Consider the following 10,436-nt stretch of genomic DNA (forward strand, 5'->3'; position numbering starts at 1 on the left):
GCGCCGAGTGGAGAGCTCACGGCTGCCGGGGTGTTTTGGCAGCGAGAACAAGCGAGCTGCGCCTGAGAACGGCCTTCAGGCCTGGCGCTAAATAATAAGTCGTTGTTATGTGTTATGTATTTATGTGGCATCCACCACACGCCTCCGAGATCCTGGGCGTTTTGAGGTTAAAAATGTTCAGGCTTGGAGAACCTACCCCTGGAGGAGTGTTAGGGTTTCCGGGCTCGGATGTCCGCGAGCTTGACGCCTGACCTAGTTGTGTCTGTCTGGGCGGTGACGTTTGGTCTGAGCTGACCTTTCCTCACAATCGTGAATTTGGGCTGTGAGGATCAGGCCTTGTCAGAACCCGAGATGAGAGGAGAGAGGTGCGGAGAGTCTGCGTGGGGTGGAAGTAGAAGTTAGAGTTGAAAAACCTGTCTTGCGTGGGGTATAGAGGACCCTACTGCCCTCAAAATAATTATGTTAATCTAAAACTGTTCTAAAATTAAAAGGTTATTAAGAAAACGAAGTTTAGGTCGGGCGCAGTGGCTCACACCTGTAATCCCAGTATTTTGGGAGGCCGAGGCGGGCGGGTCACTTGAGCTCAGGAGGTAGAGACCAGCCTGGCCAACATGGTGAAACCCGTCTCTATTAAAACTACAAAAATTAGCCGGGGGCGTTGGCTCACACTTGTAATCCCCGCTACAGATACTCGGGAAGCTGAGGCATACGAGAATCACTTGAACCCGGGAGGTGGAGTTTGTAGTGAGCCAAGATCGTGCCACTGCACTCCAGCCTGGGCAACAGAGTGAGTGAGACTCGGTCTCAAAAAATAAATAAATAAAATAAATTCTGTTAATCTAAAACTGTTCTAAAATTAAAAGGTCATTAAGAAAACGAAGCTGAGGAGGGGAGTGGTAGCTCACACCTGTAATCCCAGCACTTTGGGAGGCCAAGGCGGGTGGATCACAAGGTCAAGAGATCGTGGCCACATCCTGGCCAATATGGTGAAACCCCGTCTCTACTAAAAATACAAAAATTAGCCGGGTGTGGTGGTGCGTGCCTGTAATCTCAGCTACTCGGGAAGCTGAGGCAGGAGAATCGCTTGAACCCGGGAGGCGGAGGTTGCAGTGAGCCGGGATTAGCCACTGCACTCCAGCCTGGCAACAGAGCGACACTCCGTCTAAAAAAAAAAAGGTTTAGGCCTGGCGTGGTGGCTCACCCCTGTAATCCCAGCGCTTTGGAAGGCCGAGGCGGGAGGATCACTTGAGGTCAGGAGTTTGAGACCAGCCTGGCCAACATGGCGAAACCCTGTCTCTACTAAAAATACAAAAATCACCCGGGCTTGGTGGCGGGCGCCTGTAATCCCAGCTACTCGGGAGGCTGAGGCAGGAGAATCCCTTGAACCCAGGTGGCGGAGGTTGCAGTGAGCTGAAATCGTGCCACTGCACTCCAGCCTGGGCGGCAGAAGGAGACCCCCACCTCAAAAAAAAACACATTGGCTTTCTTTTTTTGTTGGGGGTGGGGGTAGGGGTGGTCGGCGGTGGTAGAAGGCATACTTAAGTCTCTCTGTGCTTACTAATTTAAATCTTTCTGACAGATTTCTGGTTCAGTAAGGGTGAGAGCCAGGCTCCAGACTATAGTGAATTTTCCGAGGAGATATGTGTAAGTATTCTAACATTTCAACTATGTCGTGGATATTTTTAAACTTCAAAATGTGTGAACATTTAGGAAACAGGAAAAAAAACAGAATATAACATAATTCAGCCACAGCCACAATGCAGCACCAATATGTATTAGTACACTGATAATTTTAGTACATTTGGTACATTTGTAAATTTAGAATACCAAATGTAGTGTTTAAATTCTCATCTTGGCCAGATACTACGGTTCATTCCTATAATCCTAGCACTTTGGGAGGCTGAGGTGAAAAGGTCGCTTGAGCCCAAGAGATCGAGAGCAGACTGGACAACATAGAGAGACCCTGTCTCTAGAAAAAAATGTTAAAATTAGCTGGGCACTGTGGCAAGGGCCTGTAGTCCCAGCTACTCAGGAGGCTGAGGTGGGAGAATCCCTTGAGCCAGGGAGATTAAGGCTGCAATGAGCCGTTATTGCTCCAGTCTGGGAACAGAGTGAGACCCTGTCTCAAAAAAAAAAAAAAAAAAATTCTCCTTTTGACATACTCATAACACTGCAGGTATATTAGTCCATATTTAAAGTTTATTAGTGCACTTGGAGCTGCATTTCACCCAAGTAACTTGACTGAAAAGTGACATATTTGAAGAAAGAAAGGACTGAATTGATGAGAAGATTTGACTTGGTGACAGGCTATTATCTGATAAATTTTCTTTCCACTGGCATCTGGACTGTTGGAAATAGACATTTTAATTTTAATTGGTTAATTCAAAAAGCATTTTCCAAGTACTTACTGAGTGTTAAGAATAATACTAGATGTTGGAGAGAGAGACATAATAAAGAGTCTCGGGCCAGGCATGATGGCTCACACCTGTAATCTCAGCACTTTGGGAGGCCACAGCAGGTAGATCACTTGAGGTCAGCAGTTCAAGACCAACCTGGCCAACATGGTGAAACTCCATTTCTGCTAAAAACATAAAAATTAGGGCCAAGCACAATGGCTCACGCCTGTAATCCCAGCACTTTGGGAGGGTGAGGCAGGCGGATCACCTGAGGTCAGGAGTTCAAGACCAGGCTGGCCAACATGGTGGAACCCCGTCTCTACTAAAAATACAAAAATTATCGAGGTATGGTGGCACGCGCCTGTAATGCAGTTACTCAGGAGGCTGAGGCAGGAGAATTGCTTCAACCTGAGGCAGAGGTTGCAGTGAGCCAATATCATGCCACTGCACTCCATCCTGGGCAACAGAGCAAGACTCCATCTCAGAAAAAAAAGAAAAAGAAAAGTTGCCATCTCATGGTGATGGAAATGTTTAGACCTGCAAACAAATAATTACAGTATTTTGGAGAAAACACTATAATTGAAGGTTCTGTGAGATGCAATGGAAGCAAAAGGTAGAAGCATTTAACTTTGTCAGGGAAGAAATCTTTTATTAAATTTGTGATATTTAAGATGAAATCTTTTTTTTTCTTTCTTCTTTTGATAGAGTTTTGCTCTGTTGCCCAGGGTGGAGTACAGTGGCGCAATCTTGGCTCACTGCAACCTCTGCCTCCTGGGTTCAAGTGATTCTAGTGCCTCAGCCTCCTGGATGAAATCTTAAGAATAAGTTGATATTTACCAGGACAGAAGCAGTAACAGGGCAATGCAGATAGAAACATTATATGGAAAATGGTGGTATTGAAATACCATGGTCTTTTAAAGAGTGTTTTTCGTATTTGGAAGAGTAGAGTGGATAGAGTAGTAAGAGATAAGTCAGGTAAGTATGAGCTAGAAAATGAGTTTGTGGGCCTCACTTAGTTTATTCTAATGGCCAAAAGGAAGCTATTGAGTTTTAAGCAACAGAATTGTGTGACTGGATTTGTGTTTTTCAGAAAATTCATATGCTGATAGTAGCAGTGCAAGCTCCATTAGGAGACTATTATAAGTAGTTCAGGAACAAGATGAGGTCTTGAACTTGTCAGTGAAGTGGGATTCAAGAAGAAGAATGAGATTGGAGAGGTTATGAAATAGAATCAGTAGGGTTAAGTGTCCTAGATTGTTGCAGTTAAGCTCGTCACCCCCTCTACTACCCACACAAATTTTTCACACCTACCAATGTCCATATGCTTGGGTAGTCTCCTCGCAGACTGATTTAAGTGATTTGCTTTGATCCTTGGGACAATAGCAATTGTAATGTTAATAGAGACTTGAAAAATTCTTCTCCATTGGGATTCACACTCTTACTGTTGGCAACCCTTTGCCACAATTTGATTAAATTAAGGCTGGCCTCCTAGAAGATGAGACCACTTTGAGAGTGTCCCTAGCTCTACCAGCCTTCCCAGTTGTCTCAGCATTCTCTGTTGAAGCCCCAAACATATGTGTGAAGCCATCCTAGAGTGAGCCAGTCTACACATAGAATTATAGGAAATACAGATTCTTTTCTTTCTTTTTGTTTGAGATGGAGTCTCGCTCTGTCACCCAGGCTGGAGCGCAGTGGCATGATCTCAGCTCACTGCAACCTCTGCCTCCTGGGTTCAAGCTATTCTCCTGCCTCAGTCTCCCAAGTAGCTGGGACTATAGGCACCTGCCACCATGCCCGGCTAATTTTTGTATTTTAGTAGAGACGGGGTTTCACCATGTTGGCCAGGCTGGTCTTGAACTCCTGCCCTTGTGATCTGCCCGCCTTGGCCTCCCAAAGTGCTGGGATTACAGGCATGAGCCAGCGCACCCGGCCTATAGATTATTTTCTTTTAAGCCTCTAGGTGTGGGGCAGTTGGTTTCATAACAAGATTAACTGATAGCCTAACTGACCAAGCATATGGGGCAGATAAGAGAAATAGTCTAGGACAAATCTTCATTTTTTAGCATGGATGGATGGATAAATCAATATTAGGAAGCTATGTTAGAATAAGTAAACTGGTGGCATTACCAGATGAATAGGGAATTTTTTTGAAAGACCAAGTTTGGAGAGATATCAGTAAATTTGGCTTGGAAACACTGAGTCTTAGGAGTTCCTGGGAAACACACAGGTGAAGATATCCAGTTGGCGATTTGATATAAGGATCTGGAGACAGAAAATTTGAAGTAAAAGCTGTGGCTTTGAATAACATTGCCCATTCCTCATTTATGCATTTTCAGAGCCTTTTTTTGTAGATTCTTTGTAGACAGTGTTGTCTACAAATAGAAACAGCTTCTTCCTTTCTGATGCCTATGCCTTTTATTTCTTGCTTTATTGTATTAACTGTAACTGCCAATGTGATGTTATGAATAAATTAAATAGGAATGGTGACAGTAGACATCTGTGCCGTGCTCCTGATTTTAAGGGGAATACATTCAGCCTTTTACCATTAAGTATGTCAGTTGTAAGTTTTGCTCATTTGTTTGTTTCCTTTTTCCTTTTTTTTTTTTTTTTTTTTTTGAGACAGAGTCTCACTCTGTTGCCCAGGCTGGAGTGCAGTTGTGTCATCTCAGCTCACTGCAACCTTTGCCCCCAGGGTTCTAGCGATTCTCCTGCCTCAGCCTCCTGAGTAGCTGGGATTACAGGCGCCTGCCACCACGCCCGGCTAATTTTTTTGTGTTTTTAATAGAGATGGGGTTTCTCCATGTTGGCCAGGCTGGTCTCGAACTCCTGACCTCAGGTGATCCACCTGCCTTGGCCTCCCAAAGTGCTGGGATTACAGGTGTGAGCCACCACGCCTGGCCTGTTTGTTTCTTTTTTTTGAGCTGGAGTCTTGCTCTGTCGCCCAGGCTAGAAGTGCATTGGTGTGATCTCGGCTCACTGCAATTTCCACCTCCCAGTTTCAAGCAATTCTCCAGCCTCAGCCCCCCCAGTAGCTGGGATTACAGGTGTCGGCAACCACACCTGGCTAATTTTGTATTTTTAGTAGAGATGGGGTTTCACCATGTTGGCCAGGCTGGTCTCGAACTCCTGAGTTCAGGTGATCTGCTGCCTTGGCTTCCCAAAGTGCTGGAATTACAAGTGTGAGCCACCGTGCTTGGCCTCTAGTTTTTTTTGTAGGTGTCATCTATCAGGTCAAGTAAATTAATTCCCTTCTACTCCTAGTCTGCTAAGAATTTTTATCATGAGTGGATACTGAATTTTGACAAATCTTTTTCTGCCTTTATTAAAAAATCATACAATTTTTCTTATTTAGCCTGTTGATATGGTGAAATTTTCTTTTGTCTTTTTTTTTTTTTTGGATGTAGAGTCTCCCTCTGTTGCCCAGGCTGGAGTGCAGTGGTACGATCTTAGCTCACTGCAACCTCTGCCTCCTAGGTTCAAGCAATTCTCATGCCTCAGCCTCCCGAGTAGCTGGGATTACAGGCATGCACCACCATGCCCGGCTAATTTTTATATTTTTAGAAATTTATCAATTGATTTTTTTGTTTGTTTGTTTGTTTGAGACAGAGTCTTGCTCTATCCTCCAGGCTGGAGTGCAGTGGCATGATCTCAGCTCACCACAACCTCCATCTCCCAGGCTCAAGCAATTCTCCTGCCTCAGCCTCCCGAGTAGCTGGGATTACAGGTGTGTGCCACCATGCCTGGCTAATTTTTGTATTTTTAGTAGAGACAGGGTTTCACCATGTTGGCCAGGCTGGTCTCGAACTTCTGACCTCTGGTAATGTACCCGCCTTGGCCTCCCAAAGTGCTGGGATTACAGGCGTGAGCCACTATGCCCAGCCTATCAATTGATTTTTAAATGTTAAGCCAGCCTTGCAGTTCAAGGATAAACTCCACGGAGTTGTAGTGTATTACCCTTTTTATATATTGCGTTCATTTTACTAATATTTTGTGGGAGATTTTTGCATCTCTGTTTATGGGAGATACTGGTTTTCTTACAATGTCTTTAACTGTTGTTGATGTCAGGATAATGCTGGCCTGAACTGGAAAATGTTTCCTGTTTGTAGAAGAGATTGTGTTGAATTGATATCATTTCTTACTTAAATGTTTGGTAGAATTTGCCAGTGAGGCCATCTGGCCTAGAATTTTTTTTTTTTTTTTTTATGGAAAGGTTGTAAACTACAAATTTCAGTTTCTTTAATCACTGTAGAATTATTCAGGTTATATATTTCTTCTTAAGTGAGCTTGAAGGAATTGGCATAAAGTTATTCATAATATTCTCTTATTAGCCGTTTAACATCTGTAGGTTCTGTATTGACATTAGCACTTTCATTGCTGGTATTGGTAATCTATGTCATCTTTGTTTTTTTCTTGGTCAGTATCACTAAAAGTTTATCTATTTTATTGGTATTTTCAATACAATTTGGTTTCATTTATTTTAGTTTTATTTACTTTCTAATATAAGCATATCATTTAATTTGATTAATTTATTTTGAGACAGAGTCTTGCTCTATCACCCAGGCTGGAGTGCAGTGGTGCAGTCTGGGAATCACTGCAGCCTTGAACTCCCAAGCTCAAGTGATCCTCCCTCCTCAGCCTCCCAAGTTTCCGGGACTACATGTGCATGCTGCCACACCCAGCTGAGTTCTAAAATTTTTTGTACAGATGGGATGTCACTATGTTGCCCAGGCTGGTCTTGAACTCCTGTGCTCAAGTGATCCTCCCACCTTGATCTCCCAAAGTGCTGGGATTACAGGCATGAGTCACCACACTCAACCAAGCATATAATTTTATATATGATCCTCCCACCTCGGCCTCTCAAAGTGCCAAAGTGCTGGGATTACAGACATGAGCTACTGTGCCTGGCACCTTTGATATTTTCTATTAGTATAGGTCTGCTGCCAATGAATTATCTTAGTTTTTCTTCATTTGAGAATATCTTTAGTTTTCCCTTCATTAATGAAGGATATTTTCATTGATATCTAATTCCGGGTAGACAGTTTGTTTTAGCAATTTAAAGATATTCCACACCGGGCACGGTGGCTCACACCTGTAACCCCAGAATTTTGGGAGGCCGAGGTGGGTGGACCACTTGAGGTCAAGAGTTCTAGACAAGCCTGGCCAACATGGTGAAACCCCATCTCTACTAAAAATAAGAAAATTAGGTGAGCATGGTAGCATGCGCCTGTAATCCCAGCTACTCTGGAGGCAGAGGTGGGAGAATTGCTTGAACCCAGGATGCAATGAGCTGATATCGTGCTACTGCACTTCAGCCTGGGCGACAGAACGAGACTCCGTCTCAATTTAAAAAAAAAAAAAGATATTCCACTGTTTCTACTCCTCAAGGTTTCTAATAAGAAATCCACAGTCACTCAAATCAATGTATGTACAATACATACCTTGTAATGTATTTTTTTCTGCAGGTATCTCTCTCTGTCATAGTATCTGAATAATACCCACCCAAAGATGTCAAGTTTTAATTCCTGAAACTCATAAATATTATTTTATTTGGAAAAAGGGTCTTTGCTGATGTAATTAAGGATTTTGAGAGGAGTCGGTTACCTTGGATTTTTCAGGTGGGTCCTGAATACCATCCCAAGTGTCCTTATAAGAGAGAGGCAAAAGAGGCAATAGAGACACAGAAAAGAAAGCCATGTGAAGATGGAGCAGAGAGATATATGGCCACAAGCCAAGGAATGCTGACAGCTGCCAGAAGCTGGAAGAAGGCAAGGAATGGACTCTCCCCTACAGCCTCCAGAGGCAATGCAGCCCTGCCAACACTTTGATTTTAGACTTCTGGCCTATAGAACTGAGAAAGAATAAATTTCTGTTCTTTTCAGCTACTAAGTTTGTGATCACTTGGTGCAGCATTTACAGGAAACAAATACACCTCTCCTTCTAGAACTCCAATTATGTGAACATTAGACCATCTAATATTGCCCCACATGTTCCTGAGGCTCTCTGTTCATTTTCTTTTTAATCTATTTTTCTCTGTTCTTCAGATTGGACAATTGCTCTCTTTTTTGTTTGTTTGTTTTTTTGAGATGGAGTTTCGCTCTTGTCGCCCAGGTTGGAGTGCAACGGCGCAATCTTGGCTCATTGCAACCTCCGCCTCCCGGGTTCAAGTGATTCTCCTGCCTCAGCCTCCTGAGTAGCTGGTATTACAGGCACCCACCACCATGCCCAGCTAATTTTTGTATTTTTAGTAGAGACAGGGTTTCTTTTTTTTTTTTTTTTGGCAGTTTTTACTTTTATTTAAACAGAAAACATGCACACGAGCTGTCTACTCATTTTCTTTGCTGCGCAGCCTGGCATTGGGGTTGGTGACTTTGATGGCCAGTTGGGCAGCTCTTTCCACGATGGCTTTGCGGTTCTTGGAGGAAACATGGTGAGTGATCTCGGCACAGTAAGATTTGTTGCACATCAGCAGCACTTCCAGCTCCTTGACGTTGTGGACCAGGAACTTCCGGAAGCCACTGGGCAACATGTGCTTTGTTTTTATTTTTATATTTTTGCAACGGAGTCTTACTTTGTGACCCAGGCTGGAGTGCAGTGGTGTGATTTTGGCTCACTGCAACCTCTGCCTCCTGGGTTCAAGTGATTTTCCTGACTCAGCTTCCCAAGTAGCTGGGATTACAGGCATGTGCCACCACTCCTGGCTAAGTTTTGCATTTTTAGTAGAGACGGGGTTTTGCTGTGTTGGTCAGACTGGTCTCAACTCCTAATGTCAGGTGTTCTGCCCGACTCTGTCTCCCAAAGTGCTAGGATTACAGGCATGAGCCACTGCACCCGGCCTGGCTTTGTTTATTACTGTATCTAATGCCTAATATAGTTCTTGGCATATACTAAGTGGCCAATAAATATTTATGGAATAAACGAATGAATGGACACTTTTCAAACCTCATCCTGCTTGACATTTTTGCAGCATTCTACGCTATAGGTTGTTCCCACCTCCTGGAATCTTTCTTCCCTAAACTTTCATATTCTACTGATTTCCCCACTTCTGTAGGCTTTCTTTACAGGCAAGCTGCTACTTCTTTATGAATCTTACAGCTTCAGATATTGCTGTGAAAATGGGGACACCTATATAGTCACCCACATACGCACAAGTACAAACTTAAGAGAATAATAAATGCTCAGTCACCATTTCCTCATCCGAGAAGGGAGTGGATACAGTCATCCCTTAGTATCTCTAGGGAATTGGTTCCAGGACCCCATGTGGACACCAAAATCCATGGATGCTCCGGTCCCTTATATACAATGATGCAGTATTTGCATATAATCTATGCATACCCATATGCTTTAAATCATCTTAGATTACTTAAAATATTTAATACAAAGCAATTGTTATATAAATAGTAATTATACTATTATTACTTAGGGAATAATAAGGAAAAAAAGTCTATACATGTTTAGTTCAGACACAACCATCCTTTTATCCACTCCCCCAGTTTTTTTTTTTTTTTTTGAGGTGGATTCTCACTCTGTCACAAGGCTGGAGTGCAGTGGCATGATCTCAGCTCAGTACAACTTCTGCCTCCCAGGTTCAAGTGACTGTCCTGCCTCAGCCTCCCGAGTAGCTGAGATTACAGGTGTGTGCCACCATGCCCAGCTAGTTTTTGTATTTTTAGTAGAGACTGGGTTTCACCATATTGGCCAGGCTGGTCTCGAACTCCTGACCTCAAGTGATCTGCCCACCTCGGCCTCCCAAAGTGAGCCACGATGCCTGGCCTGCCCCTAAATATTTTCAGTCCTTGGTTGGCTGAATCCACAGATGCAGAAACCACAGATGTGGAACCCATGGATACAAAGCACTATTTGTGGCCAGGTGCGGTGACTCACACCTGTAATCCCAACACTTTGGGAGGCCATGGTGGGAGGATTGGTTGAGCTCAGGAGTTTGAGAGTGGTCTGGGCAACATGGTAAAAGCCCATCTCTACTAAAAATACAAAAATTAGCCGGGCATGGTGGCACACACCTGTGGTCCCAGCTACTCAGGA

At 43.6% G+C, this 10,436-nt stretch overlaps 1 long non-coding RNA gene and 1 pseudogene across 3 annotated transcripts in view, besides 1 other annotated feature; one reads left to right on the forward strand and one right to left on the reverse strand.

Moving 5' to 3' along the window:
- TBC1D3P1-DHX40P1 (TBC1D3P1-DHX40P1 readthrough, transcribed pseudogene) overlaps positions 1 to 10,436 on the reverse strand; it is a 56,690-nt pseudogene that overhangs the window by 2,461 nt on the left and 43,793 nt on the right. The window lies entirely within an intron of this gene.
- Positions 18 to 287: an enhancer, noted in NCBI's record as "active region_12521". NCBI's record gives its function as "activates an Ori minimal core promoter by ATAC-STARR-seq in GM12878 lymphoblastoid cells {active_cell/tissue: GM12878}" and the evidence as "EXISTENCE:reporter gene assay evidence [ECO:0000049][PMID:35858748]".
- The window catches only part of RNFT1-DT (RNFT1 divergent transcript), a 31,877-nt gene continuing 21,713 nt past the window's right edge, over positions 273 to 10,436 (forward strand). Inside the window, exons 1-3 of one of the 2 annotated variants that reach the window (NR_110816.1) lie at positions 273 to 365; positions 1,580 to 1,644; positions 8,012 to 8,278. This is a non-coding gene — a long non-coding RNA (RNFT1 divergent transcript). Of the gene's footprint in view, positions 366 to 1,579; positions 1,645 to 8,011; positions 8,279 to 10,436 lie in introns of those variants that run through there. The other variant, NR_110815.1, reaches the window with a different exon arrangement.

Source organism: Homo sapiens, chromosome 17, assembly GCF_000001405.40.
Source record: "Homo sapiens chromosome 17, GRCh38.p14 Primary Assembly".
Taxonomy (NCBI): domain Eukaryota; kingdom Metazoa; phylum Chordata; class Mammalia; order Primates; family Hominidae; genus Homo; species Homo sapiens.